Source organism: Homo sapiens, chromosome 15, assembly GCF_000001405.40.
Source record: "Homo sapiens chromosome 15, GRCh38.p14 Primary Assembly".
Taxonomy (NCBI): Eukaryota; Metazoa; Chordata; class Mammalia; order Primates; family Hominidae; genus Homo; species Homo sapiens.
The window spans coordinates 92,831,343-92,852,434 of NC_000015.10; the positions used below are offsets into that span (position 1 = coordinate 92,831,343).

Below are 21,092 nucleotides of genomic sequence, written 5' to 3' on the forward strand. Positions count from 1 at the left end.
AAGATTCATATATGGACTTCAAAGCATACATGTCTTATACTTAGCTATGGGAAAATTATCATCAAAATCTTCATTTATACAAATCACGGGTATTAGAAATAAAATCAGGTATTGTGTACAGTCAGATCCCAGGTTTACACAAACTAGAGGTTTCAATTAAGTTTCCTTCATTTTATAAAACCATGACACAAGCTGTAAATAAAGGAGCTCTGGCTTTAGGCCTTCTTCTGTTTATAGACAGTAAATTTTAATCCTCTGTCCCTGCAGACCAACTCAAAGCAGTAACCTTGGCTACCGTTGCCGCAGAAGAAACACACCCTGCAGATTTCCAGTTCTATATTCAGTCTTAGAAAATTGGTCATGTTGAAAGGGAAAAAACAATTTTACTTTGCCTCAGTTATTGACACCAAGAAGCACTCCTCAGCCTGTTCAGAGGGGAAACAATGAGTCATTCATGCTGTCAGCCCAGGTGGTGCATGAATTCCAGACAGAGGCCGCTGAATTAACCCGTGGAGGCGTCTCTCTGAGCAGAGCCCGCAATGCGCCTGCTTGGGGCTCCCTGCAGCCTCTGGGGGAGGCAGGGCGGCCCAGAGCAGGCCTGTGCTGGAAAGGAACGCGAAGCCCTGTAACCAAGCCTGTACCTCTGCAGTGCTAGTCCCAAGGGGCCTCCGAGCTGTTTGTCACCATGTGATTGGCTCAGGAGAGGGGTGGAGAAATGAAAACACTCTGCCCAGGATATATTTAGTTGAAGTGCAGCTGGGGAAGTGCTTAAACAAGGGAGCTTTTGTCCTTATGTTGAAGTGTTTTTCTTAACTCCTCAAGGGTGAAAAACTTGAGCCACGTACTGATCCCATTCCCCCCCACCACCCCCAATATATTTTCTCTTCTTTAGGAAATGCTCTTATTCTGAAACTTTAGAATTTTCTAGGGTTTGTTGCATAAGAGGAAACTGAATAATTCTGATGCAGAACTGACACAAAATTTAAAGCACAAACTTTTAGTGGGAGACACAGTTAAGAAATTCAAATAATTTCTTAACACATTAGAAGTTTGCATTCTTGCCATTAATTTTCTGTAAGTTCAAACTGGAAATTGGCTATTTTCAAACGGCTTTACTTGAACTAATTTATGGAGTTAAAAACATAATTAAGTGTTATAAGCTGACAGAGCCCTGTTTCACTCGAGCTGATTCACGGTTTCCAGTAATGAAAGATATCCTTCTGCGCTGCTGAGCACAGCTTCTTTGCAACAGATGACTGATGAGCCGTGTAACGGCTCCTGTTCACATCCTCCTCAAAAAATGGCTGAAAACTGCCACCTTGCTGCAAGGCTTTATGTAAATACTGTATATTAGGGCACATTATCTATTATTAAGAAGTAATGTGGCTGGGCACTGTGGCTCATGCCTGTAATCCCAGCACTTTGGGAGGCCGAAGCAGGCAGATCACCTGAGGTCAGTTCAAGACCAGCCTGGCCAATGTGGTGAAACACCTCTCTATGAAAAATACAAAAATCAGCCAGGCGTGGTGGCGCATACCTGGAGTCCCAGCTACTCAGGAGGCTGAGGCATGAGAATCGCTTGAACCCAGAGGGGAGGTTGCAGTAAGCTGAGGTTGCACCACTGAACTCCAGCCTGGATGACAAAAAAAAAAAAAAAAAAAAAATAGCAACACAGGAAATATTTTCCATGAAAATTCCATTTGCAGTTATGAAGCAGGGGCAAAAACTTCTGGACAAGAAGCCCGTGGTTTTGTTGATACTAGCAAAGCAGGCTGTAATAGTGCTCTCCAGAGAAACAGAACCAGTAGGATGTGCATATTTATAGACAAAGATTTCTCTCTCTCTCTTTTTTTTTGAGACAGGTCCTTGCTCTGTCACTCAGGCTGGAGTGCACTGGCGTAATCTTGGCTTCCTGCAGCCTCAACCTCTCCTAGCTCAAGCAATCCTCCTGCCTCAGTCTCACGAGAAGCTGAGACTACAGGTGCATGCCACCATGCCCAGGTAATTTTTAATTTTTTGTAGAGATGGTGTTTTGCCATGTTGCCCAGCCTGGTCTCGAACTCCTGAGCTCAAGCCATCTGCCCGATTCAGCCTCCCAAAGTGCTGGGATTACAGGCATGAGCCTGACTGAGAGAGAGATTTTGTTTAAGGAATCGATCCATGCTTATGGAGGCTAAGTTCAAAATCTGCAGTGTGGGCTGGTAGGCTAGAGACCTAGAAAAGAGCCAGTGTTGTGGTTCAATCCAAAAGATGTCAGCTGACAGAATTCCCAGAATTTCTTCTTGTCTGGAGCCGGGAGAGCGAGAGGGAGTCTCTTGTTCTATTCAGGCCTTCAACTGATGTGATGAGGCCCACCCACAGTATGGAGGGCCATCTGCTGTACTTAATGTTCACCAATTTCAATGTTAATCTCATCCAAAAACACCCTCACAGACACATCCAGGAGAATCTTTGACCAAATGTTTGGGCACTGTGGCCTAACCAAGTTGACACATAAAAGTAACCAACCACAGGTTAACAAACTCATTTTAAAAAATTCATGTGTTAACTTCACTTGTTAAAGTAACAGCATTGCTTACCATGTTGTAGATGTTGTAAAGGTATAAAAACGGGTACCCTTACAACATCTGTATCCCCCTGAAGGCAAGGATCTCTCTCTCTCTCTCTCTCTCCCCCTCTCTCTCCCTCTCCTTCTATCCTGTTCTCCCTCCTCCCTCTTCTCTCCTGGGAGGCTTGCCCTTTCATCCCAGGGACCATGTTGTGAGGAAGTTCATGGAAAAGCCATGTGTAGATATTCCAGACGATAGCCCCCAGCCCACACCAACATCAACTACTAGACATGTGAATGAACAAGCCTCAGATGATTTTTTTCTCAGCCTTCAGAGTCTTCCAGCTGTGATCCAGACATGGTACAGCAAAGTCAAGCTACCCTCTGCTGTGCCCTGTCTTGATTTATTTATTTAAAATTTTTTTTTTAATTTTAATTTTTTTTACTCTGTAAGCTTTGTTGGTCTTAACTGTCTCAATTCTGACCTGTAGAAACCATGAGATATTAAAAAAAGAGGAAGAAGAAGAAAATTATTGCTATTTTAAGCCACTAAATTTGGGAGCGATTTGCTATACAGGAAAAGATAACTACTATAGTAAGATTATGGTTAACTTTATGAGAAAGTACCAAACTGATTTCTTTCCTTTTTTTTTCTTTGAGGTGGAGTTTCGCTGTTGTTGCCCGGGCTAGGGTGCAATAGTGCTATCTTGGCTCACTGCAACCTCCACCTCCCGGTTTCAAGCGATTCTCCTGCCTCAGTCTCCTGAGTAGCTGGGATTACAGGCACTCGCCACCATGCCTGGTTAATTTTTTCTATTTTTAGTAGAGTCGGGGTTTCACCACGTTGGCCAGGCTGGTCTCAAACTCCTGACCTCAGGTGATCCACCTGCCTCAGCCTCCCAAAGTGCTGGGATTACAGCATGAGCCACCGCGCCCGGCCACACATCTACTTTTGATCAGAAATATTATTACCCAATTCAGAAACCAATCTTATTCACCATGATAGTTCATTGTCACATTTCATAAGACCAGCTCACCCCTACCCCTGATACTAGAATTTATGCTTATACTTCCAATATGTTTTAAAATAATTGTTACCAACTGCGTCTGTATAGTTATTATTATATATAAAGTATATAAATATAATTCTCCACATCATGATTTATCAAGTTAATTTGCAAGCCCTGAAAGAGAAGAATAAAACTGTCTATCCACAGATGGGGGATTCTTGATTCTAACTATACTATCACCTATTGACTGTTAATTAGCATTATTATTATTTCCATTAATGGAGAAATGCTATTTGTTAGGCATTTCACATATATAAACTTACTTACCACGACAACACTACGAGGTACATATTTTTATCCTCATCTTTTTCCCAGGGAAGAGCAGGATTGGAGAGTTTATGAAATTTGGCTTTGACCACACAACTAAATTTGAACCCAGTATCCTTTTATTTGATCCAAAATAGGCTTTTCTTCATTTTTTTCTAATTTTATACCACAATGTGGAATGTATTTTTGCCTGAAGTAAACAGTGGAAAATATTCTAGACTGGGATTTGGGAGATTGGGTTTTGTTCCTGGCTGTCTTACTGATCAACAGTCTTTTTTAAAGCATGTCTTTCTCTGGACTATGTTCCCTATCATTTAAAATAAAAATCACTTGAGGTCAGCAGTTCAAGACCAGCCTGGCCAACATGGTGAAACCTCGTCTCTACTAAAAATACAAAAATTAGCCAGGCGTGGTGGTGTTCACCTGTAGCCCCAACTACTCAGGAGGCTGAGGTGGAAGAATCATTTGAACCCAGGAAGTGGAGTTTGCAGTGAGCCGAGATCGCGCCACTTGACTCCAGCCTGGGTGACAGAGCGAGACTCTGTCTCAAAAATTATATATAAATAGGCCGGGCACGGTGGCTCATACCTGTAATCCCAGCACTTAGGGAGGCCAGGATGGGTGGATCACCTGAGGTCAGGAGTTTGAGACCAGCATGACCAAAATAATGAAACCCCGTTTCTACTAAAAATACAAAAAACTAGCTGGGCATGGTGGCAGGCACCTGTAATCCCAGCTACTCAGGAGACTGAGGCAGGAGAATCACTTGAACCCAGGAGGCGGAGGTTGCAGTGAGCCGAGATTGTGCCATTGCACTCCAGCCTGGGCAACAGAGCGAGACTCTGTCTCAAAATAAAAAAAAATATATATATATACACACACACACACACAAACACACACACACATATATGTTATATATATGTTATTTATATATAAATGTTATGTATATTTTATATATATATTTGTATATAAATAGAATAAAAGTTTCGTTTAAGGCCTTATTCAGTTGAAAAGTAGTACCAGGGACTGTTCTAAGCATTTCACATATATTAATTTGTGACTCATAAAAATCTGTGATATAGGTACTAGTAAAATGCCCATTTTACAAATGAATGAACCAAGGTGCAGAGATTAATTAACTTTCCCAAAGTCACAAAACTAGTAAAGGGGGTTTAGCTGTGATTTAAGCCCAGGCTGTCTGGCTCCAGAATCCACCATGTTATGAAGCGACATTTATTGAAAGCCACTGTTAAAAACAACCTTATGGTATCATTAATAACATTATTCTCTTCAATTCCACCTTCTTTCCTACTTTTTGGGTGAAGAAACTGAGGCTTAGAAAATATATCTCGGCCAGGCAGGGTGGCAAATACCTGTAATCCCAGGACTTTGGGAGGGCAAGGCGGGAGGATTATTTGAGCCCAGGAATCTGAAATCAGCCTGGGCAACACAGGGAGACACTGTCTCTCTAAAACAAATGTTTAGGCCGGGCACAGTGGCTCACGCCTGTAATTCCAGAACTTTGGGAGGCCAAGGTGTGTGGGTTGCCTGACGTCACGAGTTTGAGACCAGCCTAGCCAACATGGTGAAACCCCATCTCTACTAAAAACACACAAAAAATTAGCCGGGCATGGTGGCACACTCCTGTAATCCCAGGTACTTGGGAGGCTGAGGCAGGAAAATCTCTTGAACCAGGGAGGTGGAAGTTGCAGTGAGTCAAGATGGAGCCACCCTTCCCATTAATATAAATGTCACTCCTTTCTCTTTTTTTAAACAAATAGATGCATTTTCTATTCAGCTTTTTATACCTCCACCTGTTTTTTGTTTTTTTGAAATGGAGTTTCGCTCTTGTTGTCTGGGCTAGAGTGCAGTGGTGCATTCTTGACTCACTGTAGCCTCCACCTGCCGGGTTCATGCAGTTCTCCTGCCTCAGCCTCCCAAGTAGCTGGCACCACCATACCACGCCTGGCTAATTTTTATATTTTTTAGTAGAGATGGGGTTTCATTATGTTGGTCAGGCTGGTCTCGAACTCCTGACCTCAGGTGATCCACTATTTGACTTTCTGCCTCGGCCTCCCAAAGTGCTGGGATTACAGGCATGAGCCACCGCATCTGGCCGAGGTAAATATTTTTTAATCACAGAAGTAGGCACATACCACACACACTGTTCTGATCTTCCTTTTTATTTCTAATTAACAATATGGCTTGGAAATTATCCCTCATAATACCGAAAGCACTTTTTTAAAGGGGTGGCACAGTTTTCTATTTTAGAGATGCACCATCATTTACCTAACCATCCCCTAGGATCCCTGAGGTTGTTTCTGATCTGAAGCTTTTGACAGGCCACGCATAGTGAATCTGCTTGTGTCTTTGCTGCTGCGCCCTGTAGGCCCCTCTGAGATCTCTCATGTCATGTATGTGGGGGCAGGGAGGGGAGCTTATGGCACGTCCTTCCCGGCCAGCAAGGCATATATTACCGTAGAGTTTTCTCTATAGGACTGGAGTCAGAAAATTCATACAGCTAAGGCGAGGTATAGCTCAGAAAAAGCATCCAGAAGGCAGCTCAACCGATCAACATCAGTGACAACAGCACGAAAATACCACAAGCTTGGCCTGGCACGGTGGCTCACGCCTGTAATCCCAGCACTTTGGGAGGCCAAGGTGGACAGATCATGAGGTCAGGAGATCAAGACCATCCTGGCTAACATGGTGAAACCCCGTCTCTACTAAAAATACAAAAAAATTAGCCAGGCATGGTGGCGAGCGCCTGTAGTCCCAGCTACTCTGGAGGCTGAGGCAGGAGAATGGCGTGAACCCAGGAGGCAGAGCTTGCAGTGAGCCGAGATCACGCCACTGCACTCGAGCCTGGGTAACAGAGCGAGACTGTCTCAAAAAAATAAAATAAAATAATAAAAAAAAGAAAACACCACAAGCTTTTCCACCATCTCTAGCCAAATATGCCACGGTCATCTTTTCCAGCGGGGCCTTCAGTCCCAGGGACCAGGCCAGTTCTGTTACTCACACAGCTGGAAGCACTGCTTTACGGTTTAGAGCAATGTGGACCAACAGATGAAGAATGACCGGGATGGAGTTGCCTGAATGTTACCCACCTACGGCTGTTTCTCTTGTGAAACAACCTGGGCAACTTAATTCATCTCAGTTCTCACGTTCTCTTCCCTGAGATCAAAGTTTCTGATGAGGCTCAGGGTCCCTCCCAGAAAAGCCAGCTGAGTGCCTGCTTCTGCCTGGCTTTGTCTAAAGATGCCTTGCTTGAGTGCCAGCCCTGGGTAAACCCTTCAGTGTTTTCCTGCCAAAGGAGAACACTGAGAAGCCCCCAGCCCCAAATGCTCTGACAGGATGGAGAAGAAACGTTTTTTATTTTGAGGCCACTGTCCCAACCTTCCAACAACAAAACTAAATTGAAAATGATAGATATAGAGCCATTGATTCCCACCACCACACATTTAATTGTGAAAATGTCCCAACAAACAGAAAAGTTGAAAAAAATATGCAGTGAATACCCATCCATCCACCACTTCAGTTCTACAATGAACATTTTGCTAGACTTGCTTTCTTTATAACATTACCTTCCATCTACCTAAGCCACCGATTTTTTTTTTTTTTTTGAGATGGAGTCTCACTCTGTCACCCAGGCTGGAGTGCAGTGGGGCGATCTCGGCTCACTGCAACCTCTGCCTCCTGGGTTCAAGCAGTTCTGTCTCAGCCTCCTGAGTAGCTGGGATTACAGGCACGCGCTACCACGCACAGCTAATTTTTGTATTATTAGTAGAGACGGGGTTTCACCATGTTGGTCAGGCTGGTCTCAAACTCCTGACCTCCTGATCCACCCGCCTCAGCCTCCCAAAGTGCTGGGATTACAGGCATGAGCCACTGCAGTGCCTGGCTTTTCTTTTTTTTTTTTTTTTTTTTTTTGAGACAAGGTCTCACTCTGTCACCCAGGTTGGAGTGCAGTGGCAGGATCTCACTGAACCACTAATTGTTGAGGCTTTTTGAAAGTTTGCCTTGAATATTCATTGCTTTTAAAACTTCAGAAAAGGAAACTTAACATCATGTTTAATAAACACAGAATGGCCGAGTGTGGTGGCTCACGCCTGTAATCCCAGCAATCTGGGAGGCCGTGGCAGGTGGATCACCTGAGGTTAGGAGTTCGAGACCAGCCTGGCCAACATGAAACCCTGTCTTTACTAAAAATACAAAAATTAGCTGGGCATGGTGGCACGTGCCTGTAATCCCAGCTACTAGGGAAGCTGAGGCAGGAGAATCACTTGAATCTGGGAAGCAGACATTGCAGTGAGCTGAGATCGTGCCACTGCACTCCAGCCTGGGCAACAGAGCAAGACTCCGTCTCAAAAAATAATAATAGTAAATAAATAAACAGAATGAATAATTTTGTTGTATTCCAAATTAGGCTAGAGAGATGTTAGAGGTAAACAGAAAGGGAAAATGTGGCTTTCAGAAGGAAAAGAGAGGGTAAGAGAGGTGAGAAGAGGTAGAGAGGGCCCAAGAAAGGAAGGAAGGGTATGAAGACACAGGAAAGGAGTTTGCAAATGAGTGTGGGTGAAGCCACTAGCACAGCTGCTCATCAAGAGCTGGAGTGTCGGTTTTGTACCCAGGCAGCAGCTGTCACAAGGTTATGGAGGCTGCTGTGGCCCCAGCCAGCTCCCAGCACTGATTACACCTCCTGCCGAGCTCTCCAGCTGCAGTCAGGAGAGCCCCAGGCAGCTGCACCTGGTCTCCTTGTGGAACACGTTGTCACTTGAAGGGTTCCTAGCCAGGGGTTCCAGCTCTAAAACTGAGGAGACCTGGAATTGAAACCGGATGCCAGCCTTGATCTCCACGTCTGTTATTTAACCTCTCTAAGCTTCTGTACTCTCACCCGTAAAATGGGCATAGTAAGAATATGTACTTCATGGGGTGTTGGACAGGTAAACTGAGGCGAATGCATCTGAGTCATAATGGGTGATGTGTATTGAATGCAAGCTGCCTGCCAAGCCTTGGGCTAACTGGCTAACATGTTTTACCACATTCCATCCTTACAACAGCCCTGGGAGGTGGACATTACTATTGGCCTCATTTTAAAAAGTGAAATTCAGGATGGCGAAGTCCCTTGTGCAGGTGGCCCAGCTGGTAATGGTGAAGTCAGGCCAAGCCCCTCTGGCTGCAGAGCCCACATGCTGTGCCGCCCTCAGCATCATGCCTGATACTAACCCTACAAAATGTGGCTAATCAAGGCCTGCCTCAGAGGGTTCTTGCAAGAATGATGTAAGACAATTCACATGAAAGTGCAATTATGCTGGGTGCAGTGGCTCATGCTTGTAACCCCAACACTTTCGGAGGCTGAGGAGGGCAGATGACCTGAGGTCAGGAGTTCGAGACCAGCCTGGCCAACATGGTGAAACCCTGTCTGTACTAAAAATACAAAAATTAGCCAAGCGTGCTGGTACATGCCTGTAATCCCAGCTACTGGGAGGCTGAGGCAGGAGGATCACTTAAACCCGGGAGGCGGAGGTTTCAGTGAGCCGAGATCACTCCACCGTACTCCAGCCTGGGTAACAGAGTGAGACTCCGTCTCAAAACAAACAAACAAACAAACACGACTGGGCATGGTGGCTCACGCCTGTAATCCCAGCACTTTGGGAGGCCAAGGCAGGTGGATTACCTGAGCTCAGAGTTCGAGATCAGCCTGGCCAACATGGTGAAACCTAGTCTCTACTAAAAACACAAAAATTAGCTGGATGTGGTGACACGTGTCTGTAGTCCCAGCTACTCAGGAGGCTGAGGCAGGAGAATCGCTTGAACCCGTGAGGTAGAAGTTGCAGTGAGCTGAGATCGTGCCACTGCACTCCAGCCAGGGCAACAGAGTGAGACTCCATCTCAAAAAAAAAAAAAAAAAAAGTGCAGTTATCCACCAGGCCCTAAAAAATGGTTGTTGATGCATGAACGAATGTCGAAGACCTCATCAAGTACTTGTTCTATTCTTCAGCCTCTTTTCTCTAATCATTAGTTCAGTAGAGGCTTTTCTCTGATGGGATAACCACGGTGAAAAAAACCTTAATCCTGCTCCATACTAATGTCAGGTTTAACAAACAAATTACAAGTGAGTTGGCCTTTGTGTTCTGACCTTGTTTATATTAGAGCAACATTGAACTTACTGTATTTTTTTGTGATCAAACAATGGGGATGCAGATTATTAATGCCACCATCTAGGACAAGCCCTCCCTGCTCCTGCTTCCTCCAGTATGGCACTGAACTTCTCCATCATGACAAGGACAACACAGGAGCCAAAGACTGCCCTAAAAAACAGAGCTGGGAGCCTCCTCACCCTCCTTGCCTTTGATAAAACCTCTTGAAGGACTGGTTGTCATGGCATGCTTTTCGCAGTTGTTTTCCTCCTTTTGTGATTGACTTCCCTTTAAAAATTTATAAAATAATAACCCTGTGTCGTTATCCTCCATTGCAATGAAGAAGACACATAGAAAAAAGTAAGATCATGTATCTACAAGCACTTTGCAACATTTTTTTTTTCTGGAGACCGATTTTCGCTCTTGTCACCCAGGCTGGAGTGCAGTGGCGTCATCTTGGCTCACTGCAACCTCTGCCTCCCAGATTCAAGTGATTCTCCTGCCTCACCCTCCTGAGTAGCTGTGGTTGCAGGCGTGCGCCACCACGCCCGGCTAATTTTGCATTTTCAGTAGAGACGGGGGTTTCTCCATGTTGGTCAGGCTGGTCTCGAACTCCCGACCTCAGGTGATCCACCCGCCTCAACCTCCCAAAATGCTGGGATTACAGGCGTGAGCCATTGTGCCCGGCCAGTTTTTGTATATTATTAGAGATGGGGTCTCCCCACGTTGCCCAGGCTGGTCTCAAACTCCTGGGCTCAAGTGATCTGCCTGTCTCGACTTCCCAAAGTGTTGGGATTACAGGTATGAGCCACTGCGCCCAGCCTCCCTATAGTCTAATTTTTGTATCACAGAGTACTACATCTCCTTTCAGCTTTTCATTTCCAGGATAAACTAATCCCCCCGTTTTTTGTTTGTTTGTTTGTTTTTTGTTTTTTTAAGGCCAAGTCTTTCAGTGTGTTGTTATGACCAGTTGTAATTTCCACTCCTATGTGTTCAGGATCGATGTAAAGAAGTTAAAAGCTTTTTCCTGGCCAGATGCGGTGGCTCACGCCTGTAATCCCAGCACTTTGGGAGGCCAAGGCAGGTGGATCACAAGATCAGGAGATCCAGACCATCCTGGCTAACACAGTGAAACCCTGTCTCTACTAAAAAATAGAAAAAATCAGCCGGACGCGGTGGCAGGTGCCTGTAGTCCCAGCTACTCGGGAGGCTGAGGCAGGAGAATGGTGTGAACCCGGGAGGCGGAGCTTGCCGTGAGCCAAGATCGTGCAACTGCACTCCAGCCTGGGCGACAGAGCGAGACTCTGTCTCAAAAAAAAAAAAAACAAAAAACAAAACTTTTTCCTACTCTTCATTATCTCTTTCCCAGAGGTGAATTTTAACTTGTTACAGCAACAATTCTGCAAGTAATGTCCACATGCTGATTTCCCTTCACACATTGATGCCAATTGACGGGACCATAACAAGCCATTGTCCTCTTTGTGACTGTTGACCTTTTTCATAGGCTGCATGGAAAGCAGGGAGAATTACTGTGCTCAGGTAGACAGGAGTTCTAGTCTGGCTCTTTCTGTCGTACCTGTGTGGTGGTGTGCCTCTTTCGCCTGTAAAGTGGAGATAAAAATGCCACTTCGGGGTTTTATTTATTTATTTATTTATTTGAGATGGAGTCTCGCTCTGTCACCCAGGCTGGAGTGCAGTGGGGTGATCTCGGCTCACTGCTACCTCCGCCTCCCAGGTTCAAGTGATTCTCTGCCTCAGCCTCCCAAGTAGTTGCGATTACAGGCACACGCAATCACACCCAGCTAATTTTTGTATTTTTAGTAGAGATGGGATTTTACCGTATTGGTCAGGCTGGTCTCGAACTCCTGACCTCAGGTGATCCATCTGCCTTGGCCTCCCAAAGTGCTGAGATTACAGGTGTGAGCCAGTGGACCCGGCCTACTTTGGGGTTTTAGAGTGGAGGAAATGAGATGATATCTATAGATGTTAGCTCCTGCCTTTCCATTTTCTTTTTTGTAAACTCTTTGACAGGGTCCCCAACTCCCAGGCCATGGACGGGTGCTGGTCTGTGGCCTGTTAGGAACCAGGCTGCACAGCAGGAGGTGAGCAGCAGTGAGTGAGCATTACCGCCTAAGCTCTGCCTCCTGTCCGATTAGCGCGGCATTAGATTCCCATAGGAGCATGAACTCTATTGTGAACTGCATGTGAGCGGGATCTAGGTGGCCTGCTTTTTATGAGAAGAATCTAACGCCTGATGATGTGATCTGAAATGGAAGCATTTCATCCTGACGATATTGCCTCTTACCTGGGCAGCAGAGTGAGACCCCAATTCAAAAAAAAGGAAGAAAAAAGAAAAAATTTACACTATAGGGAGTTGCTGATATTTTTAATCAAATGATATTTCAAAGCAAATGAATCCCGTCCCCATGGAAAAATTGTCTTCCATGAAACTGGTCCCTGGTGCCAAAAAGACTGGGGACTGAAATGAGAATTTTATCTTTCTTCTTTTTCCTTTCCCTTCCTACCTTTTTTTTCCCTCCCGCTTCTCCTCTTTGTCCTTCTTACCAAGGCCCTTTGAAGCCACAGGAACCCAGCACACTCTATGCCTTCCCTCAACAACAAGCCACATCCCGCCCCCGCCCCCCATCTCATCAGCTGTCTTTTCCAGTCTCCTGTCTTAGGCGGGCAATTGGCAATGGGTGGTGTGTCAGCTTGTCAGCGGGTACACTGGAATCTATATACGTACCTATGCTCCTGTTACCAGCACCTCAACTTTGATTCTCTAGTTTAATAATATTTTCAATTTCTCATCGGCTAGCCTCACTTTTTTTTTTTTTTTTTTTTTTGAGATGGAGTCTCAATCTGTTGTCCAGGCTGGAGTGCAGTGGCGCGATCTCGGCTCACTGCAAGCTCCGCCTCCCGGGTTCACACCATTCTCCTGCCTCAGCCTCCAGAGTAGCTGGGACTACAGGCGCCTGCCACCACGCCTGGCTAATTTTTTTGTATTTTTTTTTTAGTAGAGACGGGGTTTCACCGTGTTAGCCAGGATGGTCTTGATCTCCTGACCTCGTGATCCGCCTGCTTCGGCCTCCCAAAGTGCTGGGATTACAGGCGTGAGCCACCAGGCCTGGCCTTTTTTTTTTTTTTTCCAGAATGGAGTCTTGCTCTGTCGCCCAGGCTGGAGTCCAGTGGTGCAATCTTGGCTCACTGCAAACTCCGCCTCCCGGGTTCAAGTGATTCTCCTGCCTCAGCCTCCCAAACTCCACCTCCCGGGTTCAAGTGATTCTCCTGCCTCAGCCTCCCAAGTAGCTGGAATTACACGCATGCACCACCACACTGGACTAATTTTTGTATTTTTAATAGAGATAGGGTTTCACCATGTTGGCCAGGCTGGTGTCAAACTCCTGAATGAAAGTGATCCACCTGCCTCGGCCTCCCAAAGTGCTGGTATTACAGGAGCGAGCCACCGCGCCCAGCCTAGCCTCACTTCTTTCCAGCAAGTCTGTGGGATTCCTTTCATTAAGGAATTTCACAGCAAAGTCCCCTTCACCTGATTGGGACATCTTTGATTGCTCACTATGTTTTCACGGAACCTGGTCCTTTTCATTCCTTCATTCATAGACCTTATTTATACTTCTGCCTTCAATTCTTTGTTTTCATAACGCACCAGCCTTTCTCCAGTAGTACCTGGTACTTCACTGAACATCAAACTAATTCCTGTGAATTTCAACAACAAAAACAGACCCTTTCTTCAAATTTCCCTCATTCTTTCCTCAACCTCTCCCCTTACTCCTGCTTTGTACTTTGTATCTAACAGTGGCTGTACCTTTTGGAACAGTTCTGAACTGTTTTATGCTATGCAGTGCAGAGAATGCACTTTCTTATAGTCTGAAGTTGCTGGCAGAGCAAAAAGAAACAAGAAACAAAAGCAGCAATTCAGGAACTTCATTTAGTGAGATACACTTCCTCTTGGTAGTTTGCCAGCTAGTTTCTTTAGTGGGAAATGATATTTTGAAAGTAAATGACTACCAGTCAGAGGGGAGGGGTTGGTAAAGGGAATCAGTATATTAAACCAGATGCCTGTTTCAACTGATGTTGTCATTCATTATTAAACCATAGAAAAGAGATACATTCACTGGTAAATGCAACTTATTATTATTACAACTTTGTTGCCTGTTTTTCATGTAGAGGAGAATTAAAAAAAACTGTGTTTGATGATGAATTGCTGTAGATTACAAAAGCCTCATAAAGTACATTAAAACAAATCTAATCATTTACAAGTGCACAAAATAGATCACATATTAAAACTTTTGTTTTCTTGAGAATTAAAACCTTGAAGTTATCTGTATGTTTCCTTACTTTATATTAAGGGATCTATTTTTTTTTTTTAAACAGAGTCTCGCTCCGTCACCAGGCTGGAGTGCAGTGGCGTGATCTCAGCTCACTGCAACCTCCACCTCCTGGGTTCAAGCGATTCTCCTGCCTTAGCCTCCTGAGTAGCTGGGACTACAGGGGTGCACCACCACACCCAGCTAATTTTTGTATTTTTAGTAGAGATAGGGTTTCACCATGTTGGCCAGGATGGTCTCAATCTCTTGACCTCGTGATCAGCCTGCCTCGGACTTTCAAAGTGCTGGGATTACAGATGTGAGCCACCGCGCCCGGTAATTTTTTTCCTTTTAATGTACTCCTTATGTTGCCCAGGCTGGAGTGCAGTGGCTATTCACAGGTTGGGATCATAGCTCATTTCTGCCAAGAACTCCTGACCCCAAGAGATCCTCATGCCTCAGCCTCCAGAGTAGCTGGGACTACAGGCATGTACCACTGCATATGGCTATTAAGTGGTCTTTAAATCAGGTTTTTTGTTCCTTTTTTGAGATGGAGTCTTGCTCTGTCATTCAGGCTGGAGTGCAGTGGTACGATCTTGGCTCACTGCAACCTCTGTCTCCTGGGTTCAAGCCATTGTCCTGCCTCAGCCTCTTGAGTACCTGAGATTACAGGCGCCTGCCACCACGTCCAACTAATGTTTGTATTTTTAGTAGAGACGAGGTTTCACCATATTGGCCAGGCTGGTCTTGAACTCCTGACCTCAAGTGATTCACCCACTTTGGCCTCCCAAAATGCTGGGATTACAGGCGTGAGCCAAAGCGCACAGCCTAAGGTATCTTTAAATCAATTTAACTATTAAGGTTATGGGTGGATATATATGCATTAAAGGGGCATTTTGCATTTCTCTGAACTTTTTTTCAAATGTATTCCATCCATTTATATAACTTGTTTTTGAGAATTGTCTGGTAGAAATCTTTGCAGTTATCTATTGGGGTTTTTCTTACTGAACATTATGATCTCTTCAGATGTAAAAACTATTAATTCTGTTTCATATTAACAATAAATAGTTCCCCTGGTCTATTGCTTGTCCTTTGAGTTTTGATTTAATTAGCTTATTTTTGGCCCAGAAGATTTATTTTTTTTTCTTTTAAAACATAGCTCCAAACAGCCATTGAAAGATTTACATTTTTTTCTGTTCAGTTCTATCCACTGAGTCATCCATAATTCATTTCATTGCCTTTGAGGCTAGAATAACCTACTTATTGCATCTTTTCAAGAACTATGTAGAGATGGGAGGAAAGTCCACCTTATGTTTATAGCCTGTCAACAGGGGAATTTTCTAAGCATTTATTTGTAGAAGTAGGTTGAGAATTTATTCTATCCTTGGATCTGTCCTATGTCGACTTCAGAAGCATCTTAGACATCCTTCTTAGGATTTTGCCTTATTGATACAACTTCCAAGCAGATGCATACCATTTGGAGTTACCAAGTGCCATTCTCTTTCTCTCTCTACTACTCAGAGTAAAAAATTGCTAAAGATTTTTTTTCTAGCCTCTCAATTAATTCATTGCTAATCCCTTATTCAAACAACTGATCCTGTTCTTTTGACCACCGTTAAGAATGGATCTGGCTGGGTCAGGTGGCTCATGCCTGCAAATCCTAGCAGTTTGGGAGGCCCAGCTAGGAGGAAGACTTGAGCCCAGAAACTTGAGACCCTTTCTCTATGGAAAAAAAAAAAAGAGCGAATCTGACTGTTAGTCAGGGTTCTTTAGAGAAACAGAACCAATAAAATACACCCCCCACCAACACACATATATATATCTGTTTCATATATATTTAAAGCATTGCTTATGTCAATCAATCTACCTAGAGAAGGGAGGTTATCTTAAAAAATTGGTTCACATGATTGTGGGAGCAGGCAAGTTCAAAATGCACAGGGTGGGCCTGCATGTTGGAAACTGAGGCACAATTTCTGTGTTAGTCCTGAAGCAGAATTCTTCCTCTTCCAGGAAACCTCAGTTTTTGCTCTCAAGGCCTTCAACTGATTTGATGAGATATTATTGACTTTACTTAAAGTGAACTGACTGTGAATGTTAATTACATCTACAAAATACCTTCACAGTAACATCTAGACTAGTGTTTGATAAACTATTGGGCACCATAGCCTAGCCAAGTTGAGACATGAAACTAACCTTCACCTAATCATCTCACTGGATTTTCTTTCTCATATTACACATTCAAGAAGGCACCTAGTCTTCTTCTCTTTTAAAGGCCCCTCTCAGCCCATGCTCCCATGACCCTGAAAGCTTCTGCGTATGCCGTCTACTGGGTTTTGTTAAATACATTGTAAGATGCTGACAACATTCGTGGGCAGTCACTGCTGGAACATTTCTGTGGCTAGTTCATTGGCTACAGGAACGCGCTGCTCCAAAAGTTGGATTTCAGTTAATTTCATTCTAGGAATTAGAAATGCATTTTGTAGAGCTTTGACACTATGTTTATGGGAGCATTTCAGATCTAATAGGATCTAAGATAAGAGGAACTGCTGAATACGTACTTAAAAGCACCCATTGTCTGGAGGCATTATGGAGGCCTGAGCTAAAACATCATTTTTGCCCCTTTTTTTAATCTTCGGAGAACAAGGCAGGACCTTGGAAAAGGAGGGCTGGAGGCATTCATGGGCCAGGATGCCACTGAAGCAGAGGAAGAATACCATCAAGCTAGATATGAGAACCTGCAATGACAACTGCCCAGGTACTGGGAGGGTGGGCGGTGGAAGCCATGTGATCAGAGCAATGGGGATGGAACCACTTGGGTAACCACTGCCATGCTGGTAATAAAGTGCAGCTTACACGGAAGTGTGACAGTTGAGTGAAACAAAGCACTCTACTCCACTGGCATTGGTGGTAGCGGGAGGGGACACTCCTGCTTCCAGGTACTTTTCTGGGCAGAAGTAAAGTTGGACGTGCTTTCCTCTCAGCCTATTCAATAAGACAGGTCAGTTCTTGGGCTCCTAGACACCCACTGTTGTGGGAATGAGAGTAGTCACAATTACCTTTCCTACGTAACGCGTCATCTGAGGTCCACAGAGTGTAGGTCTTTCATTTGGACAATGCATTACAGTTATCTGCTAAGAAAAATGTATTCACAGATGTTTTGGGTTAAACCGTATCCCTGCCACCCTCCCCCTGAAATTCGTATGTTGAAATCCAAACTCCCAGTGACCTCAGAATGTGACCTTCTTTGGAAATATTTGGAAACTGCAAATGTGGTTAGTTAAGATGAGGTCATACTGGAGTAGGGTGGGCACCTACTCCGACATAACTGGGGTCCTTATCAAAAGTGGAAATTCAGACATAAACACTGCTCACAGAGATAATGCTTTGTAAAGAGGAAGGCGGAGATAGGGGTGACGCTTCTACAAATCAAGGAACACCAAAGATAGCAAACCACCAGAGGCAGCCAGGCACAGTTGCTCGGGCCTGTAATCCCAGCACTTTGGGAGGCCAAGGCAGGCAGATCACCTGAGCTCAGAAGTTCGAGACCAGGCTGGCCAACATGGTGATAACCCATCCCTACTAAAAATACAAAAATCAGCCCGGCGTGGTGGTGGGAGCCTGTAATCCCAGCTACTCCGGAGGCTGAGGCAGGAGACTAGCTTGAACCGGGGAGGTACAGGTTGCAGTGAGCTGAGATCGCACCACTGCACTCCAGTCTGGGTGACAGAGTGAGACTGTCTCAAAAAAAAAAAAAAAAAAACCACCAGAAGCTAGGGGAAGAGGCATGCAAACGACTCTTCCTCACAGCCTCAGAAGGAACCAACCCTGCCTACACCTTAGTCACAGACTTCTGATCTTCAGAACTTCAAGACAATACATTTCCCTTGTTAAACCACTGCCTGTGGTACACTGTTACAATTACCCTAGGAAACTAATATGACATGAAAGCGTGTCCGGAATTTGTTCCTTCCAGTGGGTTCTTGCTTACTTCAAGAATGAAGCCGTGGACCCTCGCGGTGTTACAGTACTTAAAGATGGTGTGTCCACGGCCGGGCGCGGTGGCTCATGCCTGTAATCCCAGCACTTTGGGAGGTCGAGGTGGGTGATCACAAGGTCAGAAGTTCGAGACCAGCCTGGCCAATATGGTGAAACCCTGTCTCTACTAAAAATACAAAAAAATTAGCCGGGCATGGTGGTACATGCCTGTAATTCCAGCTACTCAGGAGGCTGAAGCAGGAGAATTGCTTGAGTCCCAGAGGCAGAGGTTGCAGTGATCTGAGATCACGCCACTGCACCACAGCCTGGGTGACAGAGTGAGACTCCGCCTCAAAAAAAAAAAAAAAAATGGTGTGTCCGGAATTTGTTCCTTCAGATGTGTCCAGAATTTCTTCCTTCTGGTGAGTTCATGGTCTTCCTGACTTTAGGAGTGAAGCCGCAGACCTTCCCAATAAGTGTTAAGGCTCTTAGAGGTGGCACGTCTGGAGTTGTTAGTTCCTCCCGGTGGGTTCATGGTCTGGCTAACTTCAGGAGTGAAGCTGCAGACCTCCACAGTGAGTATCACAGCTCATAAAGGTAGTGCAGACCCAAACACTGAACAGTGTTAAGATTTACTGTGAAGAAGGAAAAAACCAACCTTCCACAGCCTGCACAGGCATCCAGGCCGATGCCGCTGTTGGCCCGTGTGGCCAGCTTTTATTCCCTTATTTGGCCCTGCCCACATCCTGCTGATTGGTCCATTTTACAGAGAGCTGATTGGTCCATTTTACAGAGTGCTGATTGGTGCATTTTTACAGAGTGCTGATTGGTGCATTTACAAATCTTTAGCTAGACACAGAGTGCTGATTGGTGTGTTTACAATCCTCTAGCTACATAGAAAAGTTCTCCAAGTCCTTCCTCCACCCAGGAAGTCCAGCTGGCTTCACCTCTCAGAAGCGTATATTAGCTTTTTTTTTCAAACTAAGGAAAAGGTTTTGGAAATTGATTCAACTTCTGATTTTTAAGTAATAATTTTTTTTTCGCTTTGCTAATGAATAAACAGAAGTTTTTATGTAGTTATCATGTAAAGAAACAACAGGTTCCTTAATGAGATGGTTTGAAGATGCATTTTTTTTTTTTTTTTTTTTTTTTTGAGATGGAGTCTGGCTCTGTCATCCAGGCTGGAGTGCAGTGGTGTGATCTTGGCTTACCGCAAACTCTGCCTCCCGGGTTCAAGCGATTCTCCCGCCTCAGCCTTCCCAGTAGCTGGGACTACAGGCGTGCGCCACCATGCCCGGCTAATTTTTGTATTTTTAGTAGAGAGGAGGTTTCACTATGTTGGCCAGGCTGGTCTCGAACTGCTGACCTCGTGATCCACCCACCTCAGCCTCCCAAAGTGCTGGGATGACAGGCGTGAGCCACCGTGCCTGGCCTGGAAGATGTCTTTTATCTTCCATTTGTCTGTATAACAAGTGAAGGTGATTATATTACCCTTAGAAAGATTGAGAATTGCTGATTTAGAATCACAATCTAGGACTACTCAGAAGTTTCAGAGGCCTTTGTAAAAGAAGCAGTAATCCAACATTCAAATTTCCCCCTAACTCATCCCTAGGCAAAACTACGTTTGTTTGGTCTTTATTTAATTAATTAATTAATTTATTTATTTATTTTTGAGACGGAGTTTCGCTCTTGTTGCCCAGGCTGGAGTACAATGGCGCGATCTCGGCTCACAGCAACCTCTGCCTCCCGTGTTCGAGCCATTCTCCTGCCTCAGCCTCCTGAGTAGCTGGGATTACAGGCATGCGCCACCACGCCCGGCTAATTTTGTATTTTTAGTAGAGATGGGATTTCTCCATGTTGGTGCAGCTGGTCTCAAACTCCGGATCTCAGGTGATCTGCCCGCCTTGGCATCCCAAAGTGTTGGGATTACAGGCGTGAGCCACGGCGCCCGGCCTGTTTGGTCTTTATTTTCATGAGCATTTTCTCTATAAAAGCTATTTTTAAAAGTTATAATTTCATTTGAATGAGCTGGAGAGGTTTGTTTTAATAAAGTTTTAAAGAAATATGCTGGAATTTAACAGATTGGAAGAATAATTGTCTTTCCAAATGTTTAGCCCCACCATCAGGAGTTGTCCAGAACCTTTTTCCTAGCTCTCTGGATAGAGAAACATTTTAAAAAATGTGCCACTTCACAGAATACAAAAGACAGCCAACTCAAAGGAAGAGTTTCATGGTGAAATCCAATCATGGAAGGATTAAAGTATCAGAGTAAAGATTGAAGCCCTGCTGGGTGCGGTGGTACATACCTTTAGTCTGGGCTACTTGAGGGCTGAGGCAGGGGGATCATTTGAGCCCAGCAGTTTGAATCCAGCGTGGGCAACACAGTGAGACCTATCTCTACTTTTTTTTTTTTTTTAAATGAAGTCCTGTTGTGTGGATTTTTTTTTTTTTTTTGCTTTTGAAACAGCCAATGGTCAATCATAAATAGTAAATCATAGGTATAAAAATGCTTTAACCAAAGGTAATTTGTTCTTTTCCTTTAAAAAAAAAAAAAACGGCTAGACGCGGTGGCTCATGCTTGTAAACCCAGCACTTTGGGAGGCCGAGGCGGGCGGATCATGAGGTCAGGAGATCGAGACCATCCTGGCTAACACGGTGAAGCCCCGTCTCTACTAAAAATACAAAAAATTAGCCGGGCGTGGTGGCGGGCGCCTGTAGTCCCAGCTACTCGGGAGGCTGAGGCAGGAGAATGGCATGGATC

The 21,092-nt window shown here is 44.7% G+C and overlaps 8 annotated features.

Annotated features, from left to right (window-relative positions):
• Nucleotides 347–396: an enhancer, noted in NCBI's record as "active region_10120". NCBI's record gives its function as "activates an Ori minimal core promoter by ATAC-STARR-seq in GM12878 lymphoblastoid cells {active_cell/tissue: GM12878}" and the evidence as "EXISTENCE:reporter gene assay evidence [ECO:0000049][PMID:35858748]".
• Nucleotides 777–976: an enhancer, noted in NCBI's record as "active region_10121". NCBI's record gives its function as "activates an Ori minimal core promoter by ATAC-STARR-seq in GM12878 lymphoblastoid cells {active_cell/tissue: GM12878}" and the evidence as "EXISTENCE:reporter gene assay evidence [ECO:0000049][PMID:35858748]".
• Nucleotides 1,733–1,792: an enhancer, noted in NCBI's record as "active region_10122". NCBI's record gives its function as "activates an Ori minimal core promoter by ATAC-STARR-seq in GM12878 lymphoblastoid cells {active_cell/tissue: GM12878}" and the evidence as "EXISTENCE:reporter gene assay evidence [ECO:0000049][PMID:35858748]".
• Nucleotides 8,595–8,684: an enhancer, noted in NCBI's record as "active region_10123". NCBI's record gives its function as "activates an Ori minimal core promoter by ATAC-STARR-seq in GM12878 lymphoblastoid cells {active_cell/tissue: GM12878}" and the evidence as "EXISTENCE:reporter gene assay evidence [ECO:0000049][PMID:35858748]".
• Nucleotides 8,755–8,814: an enhancer, noted in NCBI's record as "active region_10124". NCBI's record gives its function as "activates an Ori minimal core promoter by ATAC-STARR-seq in GM12878 lymphoblastoid cells {active_cell/tissue: GM12878}" and the evidence as "EXISTENCE:reporter gene assay evidence [ECO:0000049][PMID:35858748]".
• Nucleotides 13,772–13,871: an enhancer, noted in NCBI's record as "active region_10125". NCBI's record gives its function as "activates an Ori minimal core promoter by ATAC-STARR-seq in GM12878 lymphoblastoid cells {active_cell/tissue: GM12878}" and the evidence as "EXISTENCE:reporter gene assay evidence [ECO:0000049][PMID:35858748]".
• Nucleotides 15,463–15,663: a silencer, noted in NCBI's record as "peak2429 fragment used in MPRA reporter construct". NCBI's record gives its function as "represses an SCP1 promoter by STARR-seq MPRAs in K562 erythroleukemia cells {active_cell/tissue: K562}" and the evidence as "EXISTENCE:reporter gene assay evidence [ECO:0000049][PMID:32103011]".
• Nucleotides 18,230–18,319: an enhancer, noted in NCBI's record as "active region_10126". NCBI's record gives its function as "activates an Ori minimal core promoter by ATAC-STARR-seq in GM12878 lymphoblastoid cells {active_cell/tissue: GM12878}" and the evidence as "EXISTENCE:reporter gene assay evidence [ECO:0000049][PMID:35858748]".